General features: G+C 40.9%; 1 protein-coding gene and 1 pseudogene across 4 annotated transcripts in view; both read left to right on the plus strand.

Annotated features, from left to right (window-relative positions):
* Nucleotides 1-25,267, plus strand: part of EFCAB3 (EF-hand calcium binding domain 3) — a 46,263-nt gene extending 20,996 nt beyond the window's left edge. For all 4 annotated transcript variants that reach the window (NM_001144933.2, XM_011524380.2, NM_173503.4 and 1 more), the window contains 7 exons: nt 609-752; nt 2,360-2,431; nt 3,855-3,975; nt 15,267-15,460; nt 15,815-15,999; nt 22,519-22,641; nt 24,790-25,267. In NM_001144933.2, the coding sequence (NP_001138405.1) occupies nt 609-752; nt 2,360-2,431; nt 3,855-3,975; nt 15,267-15,460; nt 15,815-15,999; nt 22,519-22,641; nt 24,790-25,116 (1,166 nt within the window). In that variant the 3' untranslated portion in view covers nt 25,117-25,267. The remainder of the gene's footprint in view (nt 1-608; nt 753-2,359; nt 2,432-3,854; nt 3,976-15,266; nt 15,461-15,814; nt 16,000-22,518; nt 22,642-24,789) is intronic.
* Nucleotides 6,153-6,954, plus strand: RPS23P7 (ribosomal protein S23 pseudogene 7; annotated as a pseudogene).
* Nucleotides 25,268-27,859: the final 2,592 nt, after the last annotated feature.

The following is a 27,859-nucleotide window of genomic DNA, read 5'->3' on the forward strand; positions in this document are numbered from 1 at the left end:
CCTGACCTCGTGATCCACGAGGATCTCCTGGAGGAGAATCTGCTCCCAGTCTCATTCAGATTTTTGGCAGAATTCTGTTCTTTTTTCTTGCAGGGCTGACATTCCAGTTTCTTTGCTGTTTATCAGCCAGGAGCTTCTCAGCCTCTTTAGCAAGCAGAGAAGCTCCTGGCTGATAAATCAACAATGGTGGGTCAGGTCTTTCTCATGCTCTAAACCTCTCTGATTTCTGCCACGTCTCTCCAGCTTCTAGCTATATAAGGGATCACGTAATTAGATTGAGCCCAGAATAATCTATCTTAATTATATGTGCAAAGTCCCTTTTGCCATGTAAGATAGCATATTCACTGGTTAAGGGATTACAGTGTGGATATCTTTGGAAAGCCATCTTACCTACCAACACTTGGTTTTGCAACAGTTAGTTCATTCCAGTTCAAGTTCCGTGGAAGGATACTGTCCTTTATAAGAAATGTCTATTAAGCACTCATTTTTTTCGCAATCCTTTTTTTAGAACATGATCTCCAGTCAACTATATTGTCTGTCCTAGTCCTATTAGTGTATGTACTTCTTCTTGAACAACTGTCCTGAATAACTTAATCCTATCTCCCCAGCTTTCCAAGATGCCTACAACTTCTTCTACAAGGACAAAACTGGCTGTATTGATTTCCATGGACTGATGTGCACTGTAGCTAAGCTGGGAATGAATCTGACCAAGCATGATGTCTATAATGAATTGAAATGTGCTGATATTGATCGTGAGTCCTTTGGCTTCTCATTGTTTTTCTCATAAAAGATTTTTGTGAATATATAGTTTTCTTTTAATGACTGTATAAACATGAGAAACAAATCTTATTTACTTGCCCCCCCAAATATATATATATTTGTGTGTATATATATATTTGTATATGTTAAATATATATATACACAAATATATAGTACAAATATATATATTTGTATATTATATGTTTGTAGACTATATATTTGAATACTATATACAAATATACATATATGTATATATCCATATATCTATGTATACACCACACACACACACATATATATATAGCCTTAAAGGGACACACACATATATGTGTGTGTCTGCGTGTGTATGTATGTATGTCCCTTTAAGGAGATCAGTGAGGTATGTGTACAAGTTGTGAAATCAAATTAATCCTAGAAAATGGACTATTTGAAAAACACTGTGTGGAAGCTAAGAGTGATTGTCTGATTTCAGTATCAAATTCAGGTTACCTGTCCTGATGTACAAAAGCAGTAACAATGTTAATAATGACATGTTACCAAGAGAATTCAAGCCTTTTGTTTCTGTTTGAATCAAAACAGAACAAATCTTTCTTTTTCCATCAAGTCCCACCTATATTGAATTTTAAATGCCACAGCACTTTTGTTGGTATTTTTAAAGCATACAGATAATGTTTTTTTTTTTGTTTGAGACGGAGTCTTGCTCTGTTGCCCAGGCTGGAGTGCAGTGGCGCAATCTCAGCTCACTGCAACCTCCGCCTCCTGGGTTCACACCATTCTCCTGCCTCAGCCTCTTGAGTAGCTGGGACTACAGGCGCCCGCCACCATGCCCGGCTAATTTTTTGTATTTTTAGTAGATACAGGGTTTCACCGTGTTAGCCAGGATGGTCTCGATCTCCTGACTTCGTGATCCGCCCGCCTCGGCCTCCTAAAGTGCTGGGATTACAGGCATGAGCCACCATGCCCAGCCATAGATAATGTTTTTAGTGAATATACTGACCGAATTATTAGTAGCCCAAACTGATATGCTGTGTGAAAAATATATTCAGCATATTATCTCCTCTCACCTCTCTCCACCCAACTGCTAGTGCCCTACTCAATCAACATCAGTTCCACCTGTCATTCAGTGTCACTTAAGGTGTCACTTGCTTCTACTAACTGTGTCAAAATTTTCTATTATTTCATGGAAACATACACATACCCCTCTAATAATACTCATCATCCTTCAATTTTAGAGGAAATGGAATACAGCTTGGGGATGTTATAATAGGAATAATAGGGGTGGTTATAGCATGGGAAGACAGGACAGATTCCTTGCAAACATGGCCAGTCTCTGAGAAAGGAGCAGGTGGACAGACTGCAATGGCTGGGTGCTCCTGGCTGGATGTTTACAACCACCGTTGCTTCTGTGGGCTGTGGAGGACTGATGTAATGGTGCTAAGACCACTTCAAGAAGACCAGGGCTCACCTGAGCATATTTCCAGCCCTCAAATGCTCTGTTTTTAATATTGAATCATCCAGAGTGTTTTAATTTTTATATTTAATATATACTCTGATAATTAAAATACATCTTATCCTTGTCCTGAGTCTCAGATTTTTGTTGCAGGAGATGGGAAGGTGAACTTCTCAGACTTTATCAAGGTTCTAACAGATAAGAATCTCTTCCTCAAGGCAGTGGGTGAGTAGAGATGTTATGAACAGAAGGCAGTTGGGCAGCTACAACTCACTGCACAGCAAACATCATTCACAGGCTTCCAGTCGGGAGACAGGTCAGGAAGGTGTAGTCTGGGATGTGAGTTACTTTTGTACCTCTTCTCCAGAACAGTATTTGCTAAACAAATTGATACAGTGTTAACTACATCAAGCAGGCACTTGCACTGTCCAAACACCTACTGCAAGAGACACTGCCCTTTGGTCTCCAACGAGAACACTGAAAGAGTGACTGGTGTAGAAAAATTTGGCTGCCTTCTATAATGTCTGAATTATTTTGTCTTTTTTTTTTTTTTGAGACGGAGTCTTGCTCTGTCACCCAGGCTGGAGTGCAGTGGCACGATCTTAGCTCACTGCAAGCTCCGCCCCCCAGGTTCATGCCATTCTCCTGCCTCAGCCTCCCGGTAGCTGGGACTACAGGCGCCCGCCACCATGCCCGGCTAATTTTTTGTATTTTTAGTAGAGATGGGATTTCACAGTATTAGCCAGGATGGTCCCGATCTCCTGAGCTCGTGATCCACCCGCCTTGGCCTCCCAAAGTGCTGGGATTACAGGCGTGAGCCACCACGCCCAGCCTATAATGTCTGAATTCTTTACCAAGTGTATGCAGTACTTTGGGAGGCATTCCTTTTATTTAAAAAAAATTTATGTTTCAGAAAAAGAAAAATGTACTCTCTCATGTAAATCTAGGGTGTCGATAATTTACTGTTCTTGAAAAAATACCTTCCCCACACTGATGAAGACTCTACCCTCAGTGCTAGGGCTGGAGAGTCTGCTGGAGGTTAGAGAGCATTAAGGTGTCACGTGCTTCCACTAACTAATAGAAAATAATTTTTCTATTATTTCTCCCCCAAGGTTATAAATGATGTGTAGTTGTACTTGAAATATTGTCATTAATCCCCTCATGGTTTGTTTATAAGTTTAACAGGCTGCCTTGGAAAAGCTAACCATTATTCATGTTTTCTAGGATAAACATTCCAAATTCCAAATACTGTATACAGTTTTGAAAATATATTCATTCATAATCTATGAACTGTTCTTAGGATAAAGAAAAGTTATTTCTTACAAGTAGTACTATAGTAATGGGAGTTTGCCTAGAATCTTTGCCTAGAACCAGATAATAATCATTAACACAAAATTCATGTTTGTGTTAAAAATATTACTATGTTTTCTTAGAAGTTATTGAACTACAAGTATTTTTTAACATTCCATTTTATTCTGTCTGCTCAGTACCCAAAATGGCCTTTCTACCAAATAGAACAGACTTTTAATGTTTTACTGTACCTCTAGTTCCTGACTTGATATTATTATTGTAAATAATCAGTAAAGAGGTGGTCAATTTCTTATTTCAGAAGGTATTTAAAAATCTATCTTTTGTTTTCCCTCCATAGTTCCAGAAAAGGAGACCTGTTTAGATTTGGCTGGCAACCCAGGAATCCTATTGTTTGAAATCCTATCAAGGCTTCTAGAGACTTCAGCCCTACCCAGAAAGTCTATAATAGAAATAGTAAGGTAAGTGAGAAGGAAAGGAGCAAAAACAGCCTTCTCAGAAGCATTATGAAGATATTAACATGGCAGTCAGCTCCCACTAACATCCAACTCCACAGGGTCTGGTCCAAAACTAAGGAGAAGAAGGTATCTGGGCAAATGCCCTTGTGCTACAACATGAGACCTTATTCCCTCATCTCCACAGTCCTTCCCAGCTCTAAAACTGCAAGGCTGACCTCAGACCACCTAAGGGCCCCACTGAGGACCTAAGACAACCATGAAATTTTAGCCTCCTCTATCTCAGACCAAAGAATTCCAGCAGAACAAGACTTTTCCAGGAATAATTTTGGGTGGGCTTAGAAATCCAGTTTGGAATATAAGACACTCTTGTTCATGCTGAAACTACCAGGGGCTCTCAAAAATCTCTGACTCAGAGATGAGGTACAGCAAATTCAGACCTCCGAAAGTAGCCTTTGGACTAGAGCAGAGCCAGAATTAGACTTGAGAATAAAGGATGAAGAAACATTCTCATCCTTTAAACCTTTAATTCTCATCCTTTAAATAAATAACACACACCAACTGCATTATTTATTCCAGCAAGTAGCGCTGAGAGTAAATCACCTCAATCTATTTTTATCATTATCTTAAACAAATGTTGCTATTATCAGTCTTTTCAATTCATACTCCTTCAAAGCATTCCAGTCTCCCACCTAGAGAGACTTAAGTGTGTAGAATTCCACCAACAATGTAAAAATATTCTTCTGCCCCTCAATAAGTAGTCTCTTTATACTCTCCTGTCTCTCTGTCAGATGTAGAATAGAGGATGCACAAAATTCTACTTTTCATTCCAACTCAAAGACACTTAGTAAAGCCTGCTGTTGGTACACAAATTCAACACATTGTTTAACTTCTCAATCTCAGTTTCCTCATCTATAAAAAGGGAATGATGATAATAATACCTACCTTATAGGACAATTGTGGGGCTGATATGTGACAATACATGTGAAGTGCTTAGCACACTATAAGAGCTCAATAAATGTTAGCTATTATTATCATGTGGAAGTAACTAGACTAAGCATACACATATTATCTTGAAAATTGAAGCTTCAGCTGGGCGCGGTGGCTCATGCCTGTAATCCCAGCACTTAGGGAGGCTGAGGCAGGCGAATCACAAGGTCAGGAATTCGAGACCAGCCTGGCCAACATGGTGAAACCCTGTCTCTACTAAAAATACAAAAATTAGCCAGGCATAGTGGCAGGTGCCTGTAATCTCAGCTACTCGAGAGGCTGAGGCAGGAGAATAGCTTGAACCTGGGATGCGGAGGGTTGCAGTGAGCCGAGATCACTCCATTGCACTCCAGCCTGGGCAACAGAGTGAGACTTCATCTCAAAAAAATAAAAAAGAAAAAAAAAAGAAAATTGAAGCTTCGTTTAAAAAAAAATTATAGCCAGGCACCATGGATCGCACCTGTAATCTCAGCTACTCAGGGGGCTGAGATGGGAGGATGACTTAAGGCCAGAAGCTCCATACCAGCTGGGCAATATAGCAAGACCCTCCTCTCTACAAAATTAAAAAAATTAACTAGGCATGGTGGCGAATACCTGTAGTCCAAGCTATTCAAGAAGCTCATTTGAGCCGAGGAATTTGAGGTTACAGTGAGCTGTGATTGTGCCACTACACTCCAACCTGGGCAACAGAGTGAGACCTTCCTCTAAAAAAATAAAATAAAAATAAAATTTTTTTAAAAAGAATATACATATTATCTAATTTAATCCTCACCTCCCTAATTAGTATATACTATCATCACTCCCACTTTACAGATGAAAAAACTGCAGCACAGGTCAGTTAAATAACTTGCCCAAGAGGGAATGGTACCTATATTTTAGCACAGTCTGATTCCAGAACTCGGGCTCTTATCTATCTCCCTATACTGCCTCTCACACCCAGTAAGTGCTTAGGAAATGTTAGCTGATGTTGGCATTTTTATTGTTATTGTGGTGTGGCTGTTATTTATCTGGTTATTATTTATCTGGTCATCTTGCTAGTGCCTGATACCTAAGGAGATTAAAAATGTTTAAGACATAGTATTTAACATATAAATGGAGACAATTTGAGAGGCTGAGGTGCATGGATCACTTGAGTCCATGAGTTTGAGACCAGCCTGGGCAACCTGGTGAAACCCCATCTCTACAAAAATTAGCTCTTTCACTCAGGCCCGTGGTGCCAGCAGGATGGGCAAGCGTCATGGACTTCGTGTGGCTAGGAAGCTCCACAGTCACTGACGAGACCAGAAGTGGCATGAAAAACAGTACAAGAAAGCCCATTTGGGCACAGCCCTGAAGGCCAACCCTTTTGAGGGTTGCATGAGAGGTGCTTCTCATGCAAAAGGAATTGTGCTGGAAAAAATAGGGGTTGAAACCAAACAGCCAAATTCTGCCATCAGGAAGTGTGCCAGCATCCAGCTGATCAAGAATAGCAAGAAAATCACAGCCTTTGTACCCAATGGTGGTTGCTTGAACTTTATTGAGAAAAACGATAAAGTTCTTGTTGCTGGATTTGGTTAAAAAGGTCATGCTGGGCCGAGCACAGTGGCTCATTGTTGTAATCCCAGCACTTTGGGAGGCCAAGGCAGGTGGATCATGAGGTCAGGAGTTCGAGACCAGCCTGGCCAACATGGTGAAACCCCGTCTCTACTAAAAATTTAAAAAAATTAGCCAGGCATGGTGGAGGGTGCCTGTAATCCCAGCTACTCAGGAGGCTGAGGCAGGAGAATCGCTTGAACCTGGGAGGCAGAGGTTGCAGTGAGCCGACATCATGCCACTGCACTCCAGCCTGGGCAATGAGAGCGAGACTCCATCTCAAAAAAAAAAAAAAAAAAAAAGGTGATATTCCTGGAGTCTGCTTTAAGGTTGTCAAAGTGCCCAATGTCTCTCTTTTGGCCCTATACAAAGGCACGAAGGAAAGACCAAGATCATAAACTTTAATAGTGAAAACACTGTAGTGACGGGCCAGGCGTGATGGCTCACGTCTGTAATTCCAACACTTTGGGAGGCCAAGGCAGGTGGATTCCTTGAAGCCAGGAGTTCGAGACCAGCCTGGCCAACATGGTGAAACCCCGTGTCTACTAAAAATTTAAACATTAACTGGGTGCGGTGCTGCGCACCTGTAATCCCAGCTACTCAAGAGGCCAAGGCACAAGAATGGCTTGAATCTGGGAGGTAGAGGTTGCAGTGAGCTGAGATCGCACCACTGCACTCCAGCCTGGACAACAGAGTGAGACTTAGTCTCAAAAAAAAAAGAAAAAAAAAACTGTAGTGATAAATTTTTATATGCAAAAAAAAAAAAAAACAAAAAATTAGCCACCATAGTGGCACAGGCCTGTCGTCTCAGCTACTTAAAGGGCTAAAGCAGGAGGATTGCTTGAGCCTGGGGGTCAAGGCTACAGTAAGCCATGTTCACCTCACTGCACTCCAGCGTGGGCAACAAAGTGAGACCCTGTCTCAAAAGAAAGAAAGAAAAAATAATAATTATATATGTACACACACACACACACACACATATATATATGTATAAATGGAGAGAGAAGTCAGAAATATGTGGATATTTGAATAAATATACGGAAGTAACATAATTCAACGTACGTTAAATAAATGTCAAATAAGTGGCAAAGATAATTATTTAATTTCCTGAGAAAGCAGGTCTTGATTTGGTTAATGGTAGAATTTGATAGGTATTCACATAGTTGACACCGTTTATTGAATATGTAATAAATGCAAAGCTCTGAGCAAGCACTTTACATACATCAGTTTTTCCCTGGCTAATAACTGGTCTTCCTGCTTGCACCTTTGACTGCTGCTCCCCTGCTCTGCCTGCTGAACAGCCTACTCACAACACTCCCTGTGCCTAGCTGACTCCTTGACTCCTACAGCACCAAATGAGTCTTCCAAATGCTGCAGATCATATCACTCCTCTGCTCAAAACCTTCAAAACCCTCCCATTTCCCTCAGAGTAAAAGCCAAAGTCTTTTTTTTTTTTCTTTTTTGAGACAGGGTCTTGCAGTGGCACCATGATGGTTCACTGAAGCCTCAACCTCCCAGGCTTAAGTGATCCTCCCATCTCAGCCTCCCAAATGCCTGAGATTACAGGTGTGCACCATCACACCTGGCTAATTTTTCTATTTTTTGTGGAGATAGGTATTCACTATGATGCCCAGGCTGGTCTCAAACTCCTGGGCTCAAGAGATCTGCTCACCTCAGCCTCCCAAAGTGCTAGGATTACAGGCGTGAGCCACCGCCTGGCCCCAAGCCAAAGCCTTTACAATGACATATTGGCCCTCTATGTGCGCTGCATTCCCCTTTGACCTCTTTGACTTTGTCTCTGTTACTGTGCTGTAGCCATGCTGGCCTCCTTACTCTTCCTCATATACATCAAACACGCTCCCACCTTAAGGCCTTTGCACTTGCTTTTCCCTCTATCTGGATACTTTTCCCCTGGATAGACCATGACTCACTCAACTCACTCTCACTACCTTTGGGTCTTTGTTCTGATGTCATCTCAGCAAAGCCTTCTCTAACCACCCTGTTTAAAACTGCAACCCTCCTACCACTCCCTGTCCCCACTTCTCTGCTTTATTTTTCTTCATACTATTCATCACCTTTTAATATGCAATAAAATTTACTTATTTATTTTATTATCTGTATTCTCATGCTAGAATGTAAGTTCCATGAGAACAGGAATTATTTTTTGTGTGTTTTATTCACTGCTATCTTCCCAGTATCTATTATAGGAAAATGCTTGATATACACCAGGAGCTCAGCAATTATTTGCTGAATGACCTCCATTTAATCCCCAAATCAAACCTGTGAGGTAGGTCCTATTACCTCCATTTGTATACAGGCAAGGAGAATGAGGCACAGAGAAGATCACACTGGGATCTCCAGCCCAGATCTTCCCTCTAGGGTTTCCATCTGCCTACTGGGCATCTCCATGTGTAAGCCCCACAGCCACCTCAAACCAAAGGTAAAAACTTAATTTATCTCTTTGTCCACACATACTTCTTTTTTTTCTTATTTTTTTATTATACTTTAAGTTCTAGGGTACATGTGCACAACGTGCAGGTTTGTTACATATGTATATATGTGCCATGTTGGTGTGCTGCACCCATTAACTCGTCATTTACATTAGGTATATCTCCTAATGTTATCCCTCCCTCCTCCACTGACCCTACGACAGGCCCCAGTGTGTGATGTTCCCCACCCTGTGTCCAAGTGTTCTCATTGTTCAATTCCCACCTATGAGTGAGAACATGCGGTGTTTGGTTTTCTGTCCTTGAGACAGTTTGCTCAGAATGATGGTTTCCAGCTTTATCCATGTCCCTACAAAGGACATGAACTCATCCTTTTTCGTGGCTGCATAATATCCCATGGTGTATATGTGCCACATTTTCTTAATCCAGTCTATCATTGATGGACATTTGCGTTGGTTCCAAGTCTTTGCTATTGTGAATAGTGCCACAATAAACATACATGTGCATGTGTCTCTATAGCAGCATGATTTATAATCATTTGGGTATATACCCAGTAATGGGATTGCTGGGTCAAATGGTATTTCTATTTCTAGATCCTTGAGGAATCGCCACACTGTCTTCCACAATGGTTGAAGCAGTTTACAGTCCTACACAGTGTAAAAGTGTAAAACTACAGTTTTACACAGTGTAAAAGTGTTCCTATTTCTCCACATCCTCTCCAGCACCTGTTGTTTTTAATGATTTTTAATGACTTTAATGATTTTAATGACTTTTTAATGATTGCCATTCTAACTGGTGTGAGATGGTATCTCATTGTGGTTTTGATTTGCATTTCTCTGATGACCAGTGATGATGAGCATTTTTTCATGTGTCTGTTGGCTGCATAAATGTCTTCTTTTGAGAAGTATCTATTCATATCCTTCACCCACTTTTTGATTAGGTTGTTTGATTTTTTCTTGTAAATTTGTTTAAGTTCTTTGTAGATTCTGAATATTAGCCCTTTGTCAGATGGGTAGATTGCAAAAATTTTCTCCCATACTGTAGGTTGCCTGTTCACTCTGGTGGTAGTTTCTTTTGCTGTGCAGAAGCTCTTTAGTTCAATTAGATCCCATTTCTTAATTTTGGCTTTTGTTGCCGTTGCTTTTGGTGTTTTAGACATGAAGTCCTTGCCCATGCCTGTGTCCTGAATGGTATTGCCTAGGTTTTCTTCTAGGGTTTTTATGGTTTTAGGTCTGACATTTAAGTCTTTCATCCTTCTTGAATTAATTTTTGTATAAGGTGTAAGGAAGGGATCCAGTTTCAGCTTTCTACATATGGCTAGCCAGTTTTCCCAGCACCATTTATTAAATAGGGAATCCTTTCCCCATTGCTTGTTTTTGTCAGTTTTGTCAAAGATCAGACAGTTGTAGATGTGTGGTATTATTTCTGAGGACTCTGTTCTGTTCCATTTGTCTATATCTCTGTTTTGGTACCAGTACCATGCTGTTTTGGTTACTGTAGCCTTGTAATATAGTTTGAAGTCAGGTAGCGTGATGCCTCCAGCTTTGTTCTTTTTGCTTAGGATTGTCATGGCAATGTGGGCTCTTTTTTGGTCCCACATGAACTTTAAAGTAGTTTTTTCCAATTCTGTAAAGAAAGTCATTGGTAGCTTGATGGGGATGGCATTGAATCTATAAATTACTTTGGGCAATATGGCCATTTTCACGATATTGATTCTTCCTATCCATGAGTATGGAATGTTCTTCCATTTGTTTGTGTCTTCTTTTATTTCGTTGAGCAGTGGTTTGTAATTATCCTTGAAGAGGTCCTTCACATCCCTTGTAAGTTGGATTCCTAGGTATTTTATTCTCTTTGAAGCAATTGTGAATGGGAGTACACTCATGATTTGGCTCTCTGTTTGTCTGTTATCGGTGTATAGGAATGCTTGTGATTTTTGCATATTGATTTTGTATCCTGAGACTTTGCTGAAGTTGCTTATCAGCTTAAGGAGATTTTGGGCTGAGACGATGGGGTTTTCTAAATATGCAATCATATCATCTGCAAACAGGGACAATTTGACTGCCTCTTTTCCTAATTGAATACCCTTTATTTCCTTCTCCTGCCTGATTGCCCTGGCCAGAACTTCCAACACTATGTTGAATAGGATTGGTGAGAGAGGGCATCCCTGTCTTGTGCCAGTTTTCAAAGGGAATGCTTCCAGTTTTTGCCCATTCAGTATGATATTGGCTGTGGGTTTGTCATAAATAGCTCTTATTATTTTGAAATACGTCCCATCAATACCTAATTTATTGAGAGTTTTTAGCATGAAGCGCTGTTGAATTTTGTCGAAGGCCTTTTCTGCATCTATTGAGATCATCATGTGGTTTTTGTCTTTGGTTCTGTTTATATGATGGGTTATGTTTATTGATTTGCATATGTTGAACCAGCCTTGCATCCCAGGGATGAAGCCCACTTGATCATGGTGCATAAGCTTTTTGATGTGCTGCTGGATTCGGTTTGCCAGTATTTTATTGAGGATTTTCGCATCGATGTTCATCAGGGATATTGGTCTAAAATTCTCTATTTTTGTTGTGTCTCTGCCAGGCTTTGGTATCAGGATGATGCTGGCCTCATAAAATGAGTTAGGGAGGATTCCCTCTTTTTCTATTGATTGGAATAGTTTCAGAAGAATGGTACCAGCTCCTCTTTGTACCTCTGGTAGAATTCGGCTGTGAATCCATCTGGTCCTGGACTTTTTTTGGTTGGTAGGCTATTAATTATTGCCTCAATTTCAGAGCCTGTTATTGGTCTAGTCAGGGATTCAACTTCTTCCTAGTTTAGTCTTGGGAGGGTATATGTGTCCAGGAATTTATCCATTTCTTCTAGATTTTCTAGTTTATTTGCGTAGAGGTGTTTATAGTATTCTCTGATGGTAGTTTGTATATCTGTGTCCACACATACTTCTATAGTTCTTCCACTTGAGTTTCAGATCTCAGTGCATGGTTTTGCCATCTCAGTGTATTTACCCAACTGTCTGAGCCAAAGGCGCAGCATAATCCCCAGTTGTCACTGCTCTCTCATTCCCTACATCCAACCAATCACTAAGCCCTGTCTATCTTACCTCCTCAACATGAAAGCAATGCATTTCTCTCTATCCCCACAGAAACACCCTAGTGTAAGAAAGTCACTATCTTCTTGGACTTAACTGTAGTATCCTGCCTTGTCACTCTGTTTCCATATTTGCCATCTCCATCCACTTTCCACACTGCAGCCAGATCATAACTGAATATATTAGAAAATATTTAAGTGGCCTACAATGCCAAGCACAAATCTAATCATATCATCACATCACTTACCTTCTAAAAAGCCTACAGTGACCTCTCAGGTTTCCTATGAAAAAGTTCTAACTTAACGTGACATTTCAAAGGTCCTTCATAATATATCCTTTGCTTAACCTCCAGTCTCATATATCTCTCTCTGTCTCTCCACAGAGTCTTGCTCTCTTATCTCCCAGGCTAGAGTGCTGGAGTGCAGTGGTGCGATCAAGGCTCATTGCAGCCTCTACCTCCCAAACTCAAGCAATCCTCTCATTTCAGCTTCCTGGAGTAGCTGGGACTACAAGCCTGCACTACCATGCCTGGCTAATCTTTGTATTTTTTTGTAAAGACAGGGTTTCACCACATTGCTCAAGCTGGTCTTGAACTCCTGACCTCAAGTGATCCACCCCCATCAGCCTCCCAAAGTGCTGGGATTATAGGCGAGAGCAGCTGTGCCCAGCCCTCATCTCTTGTAACTTCCCCTCTCACACCCTAGATTACATTTAACTCGGGTCCTCAAATACTCCATGCTCTCTCACCTCCTGGTATTTGCCTAAAACAGTTTCCCCCTTTGTGAGTCAGTTTCCTAGGGCTGTCATAAAAAATTACCACAGCCAGGAATGGTGGTGCAGGCCTGTAGTTACAGCTACTTGGGAGGCTGAGGCAGGAGGATCCCTTCAGCCCCAAGGGCTCTGGGCTATAGTGCACTATGCCAATCAGGTGAGATTTAGATTATGTCACATTAGTTAAATACTTGTAATCCCAAAGCTTTGGGAGCCCAAAGCAGGAGGATCACTTGAGCCCAGAAGTTCAAGACCTGCCTGGGCAATGTAGGGAAACTCTCTACAAAAAACTTAAAAATTAGCCAGGCAGGGTGGCTTGCACCTGTGGTCCCAGCTACTCAGGAGGCAGAGGCAGAAGGACTGCTTGAGTCCAGGAGTTCAAGGCTGTAGTGAGCCTTGCACCCCTGTACTCCAGCCTGGGAGACCGTGAGACTCTGTCTCTAAAATAATAACAATAAATAACAGGCTGGGCGCGGTGGCTCACGCCTGTAATCCCAGCACTTTGGGAGGCCGAGGCGGATGGATCACTTGAGGTTGGGAGTTCAAGACCAGCCTGACCGACATGGAGAAACCCCGTCTCTACTAAAAGTACAAAATTAGCCAGGCATGGTGGCGCATGCCTTTAATCCCAGCTATTCGGGAAGCTGAAGCAGGAGAATCGTTTGAACCCAGGAGGTGGAGGTTGCAGTGAGCCAAGATCGTGCCATTGCACTCCAGCCTGGGCAACAAGAACAAAATTCCATCTCAAAAAATAATAATAATAATAATAATAAAGACAGCAAATACAAACACAAGCCACTAGTTTTGGTATGTAATATACATGAAACAATTAGTTATAAAATATAATGTGACATAAATTGTTAAGCAAAGATTAGAATTTCAAGGAAGAAAGGAAACTATAGACTAGAGCAAAAGTTCTCAAACTTGCACTGTGTCAGAATCAGCTGGAGTGATTGTTAAAACACATTGCTAGGCTACAGGATTTCTAAGTTAGTAGGTGTGTAGTCAGGGCCAAGAATTTGTATTTCCCACAATTTGTATTTTCCCAGTGGTGCTGAAGACCACATTCAGAGCCATAGAGTATATAGAGAATACTCTGAGGGAAAGAAAAACTGAGTCTTGAAGGACCTGGTGGGAATTAAATTACATTATGCCATTTTCACAGGCAAGTGATGACATTGTGGATGGTTGAGTTCAAGGCTAGGGAAGAAAGTATCTGATCATAAGTCAGACTCTAATCAGAGCACCATAGGCACATTTCCTACCAACCACTGCTTCAGCCCCAACATTTAGAATGAGTCCTTTCCCTCTTCCTGAGAGGAAAGAAAAGGTTGTCTGTCACCATCCCAGAGAGTAGTGAAGCCTCCCATTGCTGTAACAGCAAGAAATCAGCCTATGTATTAATGAGAAGCAAGGTCTTACACTTTGTCCTCTGAGACAGCATGAAGTGATGCTCTTCTGCCCAGAACACTGAGATGTGAGAGGTTCCACTGCCAAAGCAGTGAGAAGCAAGTCCTTCCACCTCAGCAGCAGTAAGCAGATCCCTACCATAGCTGCAGAGAGAAGTCCACTGTTCTGGCAGCAAGGAGGAAGCTGATCACCACAGTCACTGATATTCGAGGCATGCATGTTTGTAAGTCAGATGTTTATACTATGGATCAGAGTCCTTTATCACATACAGCCTGCCAGCTGTACTTATTCTTAAAGAATGTATAACCTAAAACACCCAGTAACACATCTTCTAAGTCTGTTCATACACATACGCTCCAAAAAAAATGATAGGAAAGAAATGCAATCAATAGTGATTTACTCCAGATCGTAAGCTTACTGGTAGTATTTTCTTTTCTTTTTTATACTTTTCTATGTTTTCCAAATTCTCTGCAATGAGAATTTCTTTTAATTTAAAACAAAAGTTGCATTTTTAAACCTAACACAAAGTAATAATAATTAATGTTTGCATTCAAGCTGGTACCACTTAAGTGTTTGTCAAGGATCATAATTCATAAGTATTTTTCTAAACAAAACAGGGAGGTCAGAGCTGGACATGATAGCAGGTACCTATAGTCCCAGCTACTCAGGAGGCTGAGGAGGGAGGAGAATTTGAGCCCAGGAGTTCCAGTCCAGCCTGGCAACATAACAAGACCTCATCTCTCTCTAAAAAAAACAAAAACAAAAACTCTGGGAAGCCTTGGGGAAAAAAGGAGACCAAAAGCCAAGGAATACAGATATAAATAGTCAAATGGCCTGTGGAAGGTATCAGTAAATATTCTATAAATATCACAGAAATGGGCACTCAAATATTATTGAATGAATATGCAAATTAGATTTAAAATAAGTTTCTTCAGCATATGTAACTAGCAACTTGACTTTTTAAAATTTTTGTCCTATGTCTCTTTGTATCCATTTCTGAATTACTTTTTTTTTTAAAGCTATTTCCAAAGAAAATTCCAGCATACTGGCCCAGGAATGTTGTGGAGTCCCTACACTATGGGCTATGGAAAAAGGACACTTAAGCCAGACATATGCACACCTCCAAGCTCAAGCATGGCTGCCTTTGCTAATGCTGCCCGGATTGCAATAATGAAAGAAAAGGATTTATTTAAATTTCTTGAAGAGCTCAAGAGTAAGAGCCATTTGTTCTCTCTCTACTGTTGTAAAGGATTTATTTGTATATGACTGGTCAGAAAGAAGTACTAGAGCCCAAATGGCATAAGAACAGGACTGCAGCCTATTCTGAGTGACCACTCTCTGTCACATAGATGTCATTTGAAAGCAAATGTAGATGTAACTGAATCCTCAGACACCTGATGAAGCCTAGAGTCTGTGGATGGGTGGGGGGTGGGAGCAGGAGAGTGAAGAATGAGGGCCATGGCCACTGAGAAGAATAGACAAAGCAAAACAGGCACCACATGCTGGTCTTTTATGTGAACTTCTTCTTACATTGTTTGTGATACCATTTTTGTTTTTATCTTTTTAGGATGCAATTCCGGTTCAGATAGCCCATATTCAAAAATACCCATCTTTCCATTGTTCCCTAATGTGGATGGGGTGGTGATGGGAAAGCCATTCAAAGACATGCAGAAATTAGAGATGCTAAGAATAAAGGAGCCTTTGCATTTCTTTGAGGATTATTTTTTCCATAAAAGAGACTGGAAAACACAGGTGAGATTTAGATTATGTCACATTAGTTAAATACTTGGATTTTTAAGCACTAACTTAACAGAACTAATGACATGCTTTTTACAACAAATAGTTTTAGTCATTATTTTCAAAGCAGATGCCATAACCATGTTCCTAAATTTAAGTCCAGGTATTAACATTTCATTTAATTTCAACAAATAGGTAAACTTACTAAAAAATACAGCTTTGGGGTTGGGGATGGGGAATATAGGAATAATAACAATAAAATTTTCTCCAATCCTATCTCTGACTGCTCCCCCAACCACTCAGGGACCAGAAGCTGCACTCTGGACACGCTCCATCCACTCTAGATTGTGGTTGGGCAAACACCATGAGATGAGAAGACCAGGCCCGCAACCCAAAGGGGCAGTGCTGTGATGGAGGGGCCATCCTGCCCTCGACTAGATCCCCATTTATGGTCCCAGCTGCACCTTCTGGCCTTGCTTCAAGTTCTGTTGACTCTAGTCTTTTTGCCCCCCCTCCCAGGATATACTTTTGTCATCATAAGTTTTAAGGTCTCCAGCAACTATGCCCAAGTTTCTAGATAAACTCTCAAGAGGCTCTGGCCTCACCCCAGGTAAGGCCTCTAGGCCTAAGAAACAGAATGGAAACTTAACTGGAGGCCAGCCCACCCTGTGGAGCTCTGGGTTCCAGAGGTCCATGTGTTGTTCACATCACTATACAATTCCTAGAAGGCCCCTCCCCACATAGAGTTTAAGAGGCCCAGAGGGGTATCACTGTCACAAATGACCTCAGGTTCAGACTTTATCTTTCACCAAATGAAGTAACACCCACAGGCAAATATCATTGAGAAGATGGAAATAAGAGGACATTTATCCTCTTTTAAACTTATGTCCCAACATTCAACTACTCCTCCACCCCAGATGCTTATCTGTTTATTGTCAATCTCTCCAACTAGAATATAACATTCATGTACACAAGGGTTGTATTTCTTTCACTAAGGTATCCCTATCATCTAAAATAGAATTTGGCCCACAGGTAACTCAGTATTTTTTGGAAGAAAGAATACTGTAATACAAATACTTTATTTCCTGAGAGCATACTATATGCTAGATTGTCTCTAATAATCTCAGCAGAAATAATGTCAATAGCTTCCTAAATGGTCCCCTTGCTTCTACTATTGTCCCCTTCAATCGATTCTCAACCCAGCAGCCAAAGTGGTTCTGTTAAAATCAGATTGAAACCCTCCAATGGCTTTTCATATCACGCAGAATGAAAACCAAAATTTTTATAACTTGTTACAATGTCCCACACAATCAAAACCTGAGCCTTCCAATAATTGTAGCCACTAGTAGCTGTTTAAGTTTCAATTAATTAAAATTAAATAAAATTACAAATTCAGTTCCTCAGTCACACCAGTCACATTGCAAATGCTCAACAGCCATATGTGGCTAATGGCTACTATACTGGATGACACAGAAATATAGAAAATTTCCATTATTGAGGAAAATGTTATAGGCCATCACTGATCTAGGCTCTCATTGCCTATCCAACAATCTCATCATCCACTGCTCACCATCCAGTGCATTCCACTCCATCCTCAAGACCTCTTTACTCTTCCTCTTACAGACTAGACGTGCTCTCACATCATGGTCTATGGCTTTGCTATTTCTTCTGCTCTAATGTTGTTCCTCAGAGAGCTGCATCATAGCTCTCCCCTCACCTCTTTTAGGTCTTGTCTCAAATGTCACTTTAGGAGGCCTCTCTAACAACCCCATTAAAATAACAATCCCCACATTGTCATTGTACTAAATGCCACTGAATTGTTCACTTCACATGGTTCATTTTATGTTACATGAATTTTCACTTTAATAATTTTTTTTTGAGTCAGAGTCTTGCTCTGTTGCCCAGGCTGGAATACAGTGGCGTGATCTTGGCTCACTACAACCTCCACTTCCCAGGTTCAAGCAATTCTCCTGCCTCAGCCTCCCAAATAGCTGGACCACAGGCATGCGCCACCACACCTGGCTAATTTTTGTATTCTTAGTAGAGATGGGGTTTCACCATGTTGGTCAGGCTGGTCTCAAACTCGTGACCTCAGGTGATCCACCTGCCTCAGCCTCCCAAAGTGCTGGGATTACAGGCATGAGCCACCACGTTTGGCCAATAAATTATTTTTTAAGTAAGTATTTAAATAGCTGGGTGCAATGGTACATACCCCTAATCCCAGCTGATTAGGAGGCTGAGGGAAGAGGATCACTTGAGCCCAGGAGTTCAAGGCTATAATATGCTATGATCATGCCTGTGAATGCACTGCACTCTAGCCCGGGCAACATAGTGAGGCTCCATCTCTAAAAATAAATTTTTTAATTAAAAATAAATTTAAAATAAAAATTTTTGAACAAATAAATATATTTATGTATTCAAATAAAATCACAACCCCCAATACCTTACCCCCTTTCCTGATTTTTTTCATAACACGTTACCATCTATTACATATTTACTAGTATATTACCTCTAATACACTACATATTTATATTTATTATACTACATGCATACATATGTATATTTACATCTATACCTACTGTATATGTACTATATTTACAAATATTATAATATACTACATTTAATGCTATTTCTATTAAACTATATGTTTATAGTTATATACATATGTAGTATATTACATCTAATCTAATATAATTGTATATTTATAAATGTTCATTAGAGGCTGGGTGCAGTGGCTCATGCCTGTAATCCCAGCACTTTGGGAGGCCAAAGCAGGTGGATCACCTGAGGTCGAGAGTTCGAGACCAGCCTGACCAACATGGAGAAACTCCATCTCTACTAAAAATACAAAATTAGCTGAGCGTGGTGGCATATGCCTGTAATCCCAGCTACTCAGGAGGCTGAGGCAGGAGAATCGCTTGAACCCGGGAGGCAGAGGTTGTGGTGAGCCAAGATCACACCATTGCACTCCAGCCTGGGCAATAAGAGCAAAATTCCATCTCAAAATGAAATAAAATAAATGTTCATTAGAACCAAGAAATAGGCTGGGCACAGTGCCTCATGCCTATAATCCCAGCACTTTGGGAGGCTGAGGTGGCTGGATCACTTGAGCTCAGGAGTTTGAGACCAACCTGAGCAACATGGTGAAACCCCGTCTCTACAAAAAAGAAAAGAAAGAAATGGTACTTTCAAGTTTCAGAAAGTAACTGAGTTACATGAACACTACTTGACCCCACACATAGACTCCCTATGACCACGTTAAAATATTGGATAGGGCTGGGTATGGTAGCTCATGCCTGTAACCCCAACACTTTAGGAGGCCAAGGAAGGTGGATTGCTTGAGCCGAGGAATTCGAGACCAGCCTAGGCAGCATGGTAAAATTCTGTCTCTACAAAATATATATATAAATATATATATGAATACTGGACTAAATAAAATGACAAACATTCAAAAATGTATTCAAAAGAAAGGAAAACCCCATGTTTCAGAAAGCAAGAGAGAGAGAGAGAGAGCACCTAAAGCCAGAATAACAAGTTCACAAGTTAACAAGTGGCAATAGATCTCGGCCCTGATGAGTTGGGATTGGGGTTTAGATGCCCATTCAGGGTCAGGAGATGTGGATCCCTGGAAGTAAGCAACTGGAATTGAAACCAGTATCTGTAAGGGTTGCCCTCTCAGTAAAAGGAGGGGTAAGAAACTCAGTCCATAGCCAAGCTTGGTCTGCTCAAAGCTCTGAATAGAGAAGAAAGTATTCTGTGAAGAATTTGAAACTCAGGATTGTAGGATGCATGGATTCAGAATCTGAATTTATAGTTTCCACATTGGATGAAATCTCCAAGCAGTAAAATTACCTTAAAAACCGGTTTTAGATTGGTATTACCTTGGGAGGTCTGCCAGACACAAACATAAACACATCCATATCCTAGGTTTGCACAGCTTATATCAAAAATCTTTTAAAATCTCTTTTAAAGATAGGTTCACAAAAATTACAAGCCATAAAAGGAAATAATCTACTCTCAAAAAAAGTCAGTAGGTAAACAAGAGGAGTATCATAATTTGATATAGCAGATCTTTAAAAGACTGTAAAACATGTTTTAAATTATTAAAGAGAGGTGTTTAGTAATGACTGAGTATTTTTAGGAATGACTGAGAATTTTTCTAAATTGATAAAAGATATGAATTCTTAAATTGAAGAAAACACCCTGGAGCAGCATATATAAAAGAAAATACAACTTGAAACATTGCAGTTGAAAATGGAGACAAAGAAAACACTTCAAAAGCAACCAGAGGCCAAGCACAGTGGCTCACATCTGTAATCCCAGCACTTTGGGAGGCCAAGGCAGGTGGATCGCCTGAGGTCAGGAGTTCAAGACCAGCCTGGCCAACATGATGAAACCCCATCTGTACTAAATACAAAAATTAGTCAGGCATGATGGCACATGCCTGTAATCCCAGCTACTTGGGAGGCTGAGGCAAGAGAATCTCTTGAACCCAGAAGGCAGAGGTTGCAGTGAGCCGAGATTTGCACCACTGCACTCCAGCCTGGGCCACCAAGCAACACTCTGTCTCTAAAGAAAGAAAGAAAGAAAGAGAGAAAGAGATGGAGGGAGGGAGGGAGGGAGGGAGGGAGGAAGGAGGGAAGAAAGGAAGGAAGGAAAGAAGGAAGGAAGGAAGGAAGGAAGGAAGGAAGGAAGGAAGGAAGGAAGGGAGGGAGGGAGGAAGACAGACAGAAAAAATAAATAACTTACAAAGGAACAAAAAGTAGACTAACAGGAGACCATGCATGCAAAAATAAAGGCCAGAAGACAATCAAATAATATCTATAGATTGAGGAGAGAAAAGTATTTCCAGCTAAGCTATCATTCAAGAGGGAGAGTAAATAAAAACACTTTCAAGGCCGGGCATGGTGGCTTACACCTGTAATCTCAGCACTTTTGGAGGCCAAGGCAGGCGGATCACCTGAGGTCAGGAGTTCGAGACCAGCCTGGCCAACATGGTGAAACCCCATCTCTACTAAAAATACAAAATGTAGCCAGGCATGGTGGCGCGTGTCTGTAATCCCAGCTACTAGGGAGGCTGAGGCAGGAGAATCACTTGAACCCGGGAGGCAAAGGTTGCAGTGAGCCAAGATCCCACCACTGCACTCCAGCGAGACTCTGTCTCAAAAAAAAAAAAAAAAAAAAAGAATGTTTGACATTATAAGGGTGTTGTTCTTTCTTACTTGTCTATAACTTTAATGTGATTTTTTCAAATTTTCCCCAAGGGTTTTTTGTTGTTGTTGTTGAGACAGGGTCTCAACTTTGTCACCCAGGCTGGAGTGCAGTGATGTGATATCAGCTCACTACAACCTCTGCCTCCCAGGCTCAAGCAATCCTCCCACTTCAGCCTCTCTAGTAGCTGGGACTACAGACACGTGCCACCATGCCCAGCTAGTTTTTGTATTTTTAGTAGAGATGGGGTTTCGCCATGTTGGCTGGTCTTGAACTCCTGGGCTCAAGCAATCCACCCTCCTCAGCCTCCCAAAGTGCTGGAATCACAGGCATGAGCCACTTTCATGACTCTGTCTCAAAAAAAAAAAAGTCTCAATTATTAAAACAGTATGATATTAACAGACAGACCCAAGGAAGAAAATAGAAAGTCCCAAAATAAATAGAGCTATGTGGAGAATTTTAACTTAAGGAAAACGTGACATTTCAACACAACAGGAAAATGATAGATTATTCAACAAATAATGCACTGAGTAGGCATCTGAGGAAAAAAATGAGATTCACACTTCATATACAAATTGCAAATGGATGAAATGTAAAAGGAATAAATGGAGGGTCAGAGAGAAAGAAAAAGAAAAGAAACCTTAAACATACTGAAATAAACTCTGGGAAAGCCTCCCTAACTGTGATACAAAAGTCAAATGCATTTTTAAATAAAAAGATATTAATTCCACTGCTTCAAGATCAAAAATCTCCATATGGCCAAAAAAAATCACAGTTGCCACTCATAACACAGAAGGCTAACTTCAAAGAACTTCAAATTCATAAGAAAAAAATAACCTATATAAAAATGGGCAAAGGGTATGAACAGACAGTTCTCAGAAACATGAAAAAATATTCAACCTCATTCCTCATAAAAGATCCAAGTTAAAACTCTCCTCAGATATTTATCTTTTCATATTATATTGATCAAGATGAAAAAACATGGGTATACTCATAAGTTACAGATACGTTTGTAAATTGGTTCACCCTCTACAGAGGAAATTTGGCAATAATTACCAAAAGGACAGACCTCACACCTTTTGACCTAGCAATTCCAGTCCTAGGGCACCATCTAGGATATACAGATATTTTTGCACATATGCCAAATGCCACTCCTGAGGGACCCGGAAAAAAGTCTAAACAAACAAACAAATGGTTTGGCAATAACCTTATAAATTATATACAAATCCTTCTATAATAAAATATACTTATTTATTATGTCTTTTTGTTGTATAATTCAAATTAAAATGTATTACTAACCTTCTTTTTTAAATATGCATAAAGGCAGCAAATATAAAGTCTATGGACCCTGCCTCAGGTTATTCAAATAACATCTTCACCATTGATCAAATGCTCAAGAAAAAGCAGACTTGTACAGTGGCCGATGCAACTGCTATTAAACAACATGTGAGTATTCCTTGTTGAGTTCCTTCCCAGAAATCACTGACAAAAATATTGTCCACTTCAATACTACACCATAAAACCAAGAGAATTTTTATCTGCTCTATGTCTTTAAAATGAGACAAGGTTGTTTCTCATGTTTACCCATTGTAATAACACCATTTCTTTCTCTATAATCAAATGGATTCAAATGTTAAGTGTTATGATTCATCCTGCTATTCACCTATGCAGCTATACTCACTGTTATTTCTGGGACATTCATTTGTGTTATTCCAGAAATATCAAACTAATTAAGGTAGTTAACCAACAGTCACAGTGAGTAGTGTACTCAGAGATTCATGGTGAAAGAATCTTACGTCCTGAGGCCTCTAGCCCTGGGACACCAGCTGCACCAGGGCTAAGAAGCTTGAGAAGATCAATAGTTTGATATTAATACATTGGAAATCTTGGCATTAGGTAAAGAACAGCTAGGGCAAGTATTCTTTGGGCTATCTCAATCTATCCTCCTTGGTTCAGCTGCCACCTATGTACTGATTACTGTTAAAGTTGTCACTAACCTAACTTCTTTCCTCTATGTCTGTCCTATCTCACTGACCACCTGATGACTATTTCTACCTCTACGCTGGGTCTCATAACATAACAAACTCAACATGTCCAAAACAAAACTCATCATCTTCTGCAGCCAACTGGTTCTCCCCTGGGAATTCTGTATCTCAGGTGTTTGTTTGTTTGTTTTGTGTGTGTGTGTGTGTGTGTGTGTGTGTTTAAATAAGGTCAACTTTTATTTTAGATCCACGGGGTACATGTGCAGGTTTGTTATGAGAGTATATTGCATGTGTCTCAGTTGATAGCATCTACTCAGTCACTGAAGCTAGAAAGCCAGGAGCTATCCTTAACTCGGGTTTTTTCCTCATTCCTCACATCTGCTAATCCCCAGGTCTGGCTGATTGTCATTCTCTAAAAGGTTTTTCAGGGCTGGGCATGGTGGCTCACACCTGTAATCCTAGCACTTTGGGAAGCTAAGGCAGGCGAATCACCTGAGGTCAGGAGTTTGAGACCAGCCTGGCCAACATGGTGAAACCCCGTCTCTACTAAAAATACAAAAATTAGCTGGGCATGGTCGTGGGCGCCTGTAATCCCAGCTACTCGGGAGGCTGAGGCAGGAGAATCCCTTCAACCCAGGAGGCAGAGGTTGTGATGAGCCAAGATCGTACTACTGCAGTCCAGGTTAGGCAACAGGGCAAGACTCCGTCTCAAAAACAAAAAAAAACAAAAAAAAACAAAAAAACCACATTTTTCAAATCTGTCCCCTTCACTCCATCCCCATTACCACTGCCTTAGATGAGGCAGTCTCCAACCTGGTATCCTCCAACCATTCTCCACACAGCTGCTAATGATCCAACATGAAGAGCCAACCATGGCACTGTACTGCTTAAAAGTGAACATGTCCCTCTCAATGATGGCAATTTCAACTCTATTTTCTGCTTAAGGGATTTATTTCACTTTCATTAGAAACAGTGGGTCACTACAGCATGATTTTCACTGAGGAATAGGCTTTTGCTAGCCTCACAGAGATTACTGACTTATAAGATTAAGTGTAAGGGCCTGCCTGTCCTTTGTCATTATTTATTCCTCCCACTTTAAACTTGACACTCCAGCAATACCAAGTGCCTGAACCCTCCTGCCACACCTCCAGGATATTTACTGCCTTGGGGTCTCTGTTTGTGCTGTCCCCTCTCCCTGGAACACCTTCCCCTCACCACTTACTCCGTCAATTTGATCACATCCTTGAGGACCTACTCAGCTCAGCATCTTCTCCCAGTCAGTTCTCCCTATCCTAGGCTGAACTGAGTGGCTGAATTGGCCCTCCTGTTATATCCCTAGCCTATCTCCATACCATACTTCAGTCTATTTTAGTCCATTGTATTTTTCATATCCTTATAAAATTTCTTATTACCTCATTATTCCCAAGCAGTACATTTTGATTGTCCATCACCTCCTAGCTCACACGTCCTCACGAGGCACCACCTAATGTATAGATTCAGTGACTTTCGAGTAGCCCAGGGACATAACTCTTGGGGTATCTATCATTGTGGTCCACAAATCAAAGCTACTTTAAGGTAACTACAATAAACTTCTGGTCTCTCACTGCAGGTGAAGAGAGCTACTGATACCTATAATTTAGGAATTGCCCTTGAACACCGAAAAGAGATGCTAAACCTCTGGCAGAAGATCCGAGGGGATTTGATTGGGATGGACTCTAGAAATGAGTCCTTTTATGACACCTTTTCTACTTATACATGGTCCTGGAATGTTTGCCAAGAATTACTTTCTCCTAAGGACTTAAGGTTATATGATGCCTATGTGAATAGAAATTCCTCCCATAACTCCAGATCCTCTTCCTCATCAGATACCAGTGAATGTTACACAGACTCAGGAAGAAAAAGAAAACGGAAAGGTTTAAAGGGATTTCAACAATGAAATTTCTACATTTTCTAAACAGCTCATCACAAACTACTTTTTCATAGTTATCAAAATTATTGTTTCTTGCTTTTGTCTAAGTACATTCTTAGAAGCTGGAAATTTTGACATCTTTTGGATTCTGACCAGTAAAAAAGTTTAAGTCATAAAATGGTTTCCCTTTCCTAAATCTTTTTTTTTTTTTTTTTGAGACAGAGTCTTCCTCTGTCACCAGGCTGGAGTGCAGTGGCATGATGTTGGTTTACTGTAACCTCCACCTCCTGGGTTCAAGCCATTTTCCTGGCTGAGCCTCCCGAGTAGCTGGGATTACAGGCACCCACCACCACACCCAGCTAATTTTTGTATTTTTAATAGAGATGGGGTTATCACCATGTTGGTCAGGATGGTCTACGATCTCCTGACCTCGTGATCCACCCGCCTCGGCCTCCCAAAGTGCTGGGATTACAGGCGTGAGCCACCGCACCCGGCCCCCTTTCCTAAATCTTTACTAGTAAATAGATGCTGGGCTGTTAGTTCCCTAGCAACCAGCTGCACTCTGCTGCCCCTACCTGGCTTAAGACTGCCTAAGCCTCATCAGGAAGGAGAAAAGTTGGCCTGAGCTAAGGGCCCTCCAAGCAATAAACCTCTGAGTTTATGGTGAGTGTAAACTGGGTTAGGTTTTCAATTGTTTGTGAAAGAGACTAGAGACAGCAGCTGAGGATGACCTTTCAGTTTCAGGGAATAGGATCAGCAAGCCCTAAATGAACCTTGATTAAATTTGGGTATTCCCAAGGCTCCTTAGCTACACAGCTGCACACTTAGATTGCTCTTACAAATAGCTGAACACAGCCAGATGCGATGGCTCATGCCTGTAATCCCAGCACTTCGGGAGGCTGAGGCGGGCGGATCACCTGAGGTCAGGAGTTCAAGGCCAGCCTGGTCGACATGGTGAAACCCTGTCTCTACTAAAAATACAAAAATTAGTCGGGCGTGGTGGCACACGCCCATAATCCCAGCTACTCTGGAGGCTGAAGCGGGAGAATTGCTTGAACCTGGGAGGTCGAGGTTGCAGTGAGTTTATGGTGAGTATAAACTGCGATTATGCCACTGCACTCCATCCTGGGTGACAGAGCAAGATTCTGTCTCAAAACAAAACAAACAAACAAAATGAATAGCTGATCACATCCATTGTATTTATTGTTGCTGTTCTTTAATGCATTTGATAAAGAAGCACATATATAACTATATTACAAGTTTGGGGGATTATAATTTTTTATTATGGTAAAATACACATTACATAAAATTTGCCCTTTCAATCATGTTTAAGTGTGTATCATCCATTACTGGGTTTTTTGTTTTGGTTTGTTTTGTTTTGTGTGTGTGTGTGTGTGTGTGTGTGTGTTTGTTTAGAGACAGGGTTTCACTCTGTCACCCAGGCTGGTATGCAGTGACAAAATCATGGCTCGCTGCAGCCTCAACCTCCTGGGCTCAAGCAATCCTCCCACCTCAGCCTCTCACGTAGCTGGAACTACAGGGGCACACCACCATGCCCAGCTAATTTTTTTTATTTTTATAGAGACGCGGACTCCCTATGTTGCTCAGGCTGGTCTCAAACTCCTGGGCTGAAGTGATCCTCCCACCTCAGCCTCCCAAAGTGTTGTTATTACAAGTATGAGCTACTGTGCCCAGTCCCACTGGGGTATTTTTCTGTGGTTCTCAAGGGTTGCCCACAGAGAGACAGACCACTTTTGGACTCAGGAAATCTGGATGTACCAAGACTAAATCTATATTAACCTTCTGATCTACTGTCAGGATGGCAAAATGTTTTATTTCTTGTGCCAATTCTGATCTAAAAATGTAAGGGATGAAAAAAAATATAAGGGATGAGATCAACTATTTGTAAATGTTGTCCGAGAAGCTGGTTTGCTGGTGTGTGGGTGCAAACCAGTCCATCACACTCAACATATAGAACAAATGCTTTTTAAATCACTATTCTAGAAAAATTTTGACCCAGAAAAAGGAAAAGATATGTCCAATATTGATGGGGACAATGCCTCATAATGTCAAAAAAAAAAAAAAAATTGAGGCAGAGTCTCACTCTGTTGCCCAGGCTGCAGTGCAGCAACGTGATCTCAGCTCGCTGCAACCTCCACCTCCCCAGGCTCAAGCGTTTCACCTGCCTCAGCCTCCCAAGTAGCTGGGATTACAGGTGCGTGCCACCACACCCAGCTAATTTTTGTATTTTTAGTAGAGATGGGGTTTCGCCATGTTGCCCAGGCTAGTCTCAAACTCCTGAACTCAGATGATTTGCCAACCTCAGCCTCCCAAAGTGCCGGGATAACAGGCATGAGTCACTGTGCCCCGCTGTAAAATTATAAAATGCCAGGAAAAAGCAATGAAGATAGTGCCCCCAAAACTGTTTATTGAAATGGCCTTGAGGTAATTTTGTGAGTGTTAACATGAATAGTCAAAAGAGTCTAAATATACCTGCTATTATTTATAAAGATACAATGTTGGAGAGAAGAACTAACCTTATAGGTAGATAAGCAGCCATATTTTCTAGCTAAAAACAAGATTTATGACTTGACAAGAGACTTTTCATATGGCTGTGGGTATAACAGGGAATCTAGGAGATATAATTTGGATGCCAAAATGTTACAATTCCTGGAATATTTCTTTGCATCAGTGAGATAACAGGGCAGAATATTTTTAATAGGATCTGTCCTGGAAAATCTAAAATGTACAGCAATACATTCTTTCTATT

This window comes from Homo sapiens, chromosome 17, assembly GCF_000001405.40.
Source record: "Homo sapiens chromosome 17, GRCh38.p14 Primary Assembly".
Classification (NCBI taxonomy): domain Eukaryota; kingdom Metazoa; phylum Chordata; class Mammalia; order Primates; family Hominidae; genus Homo; species Homo sapiens.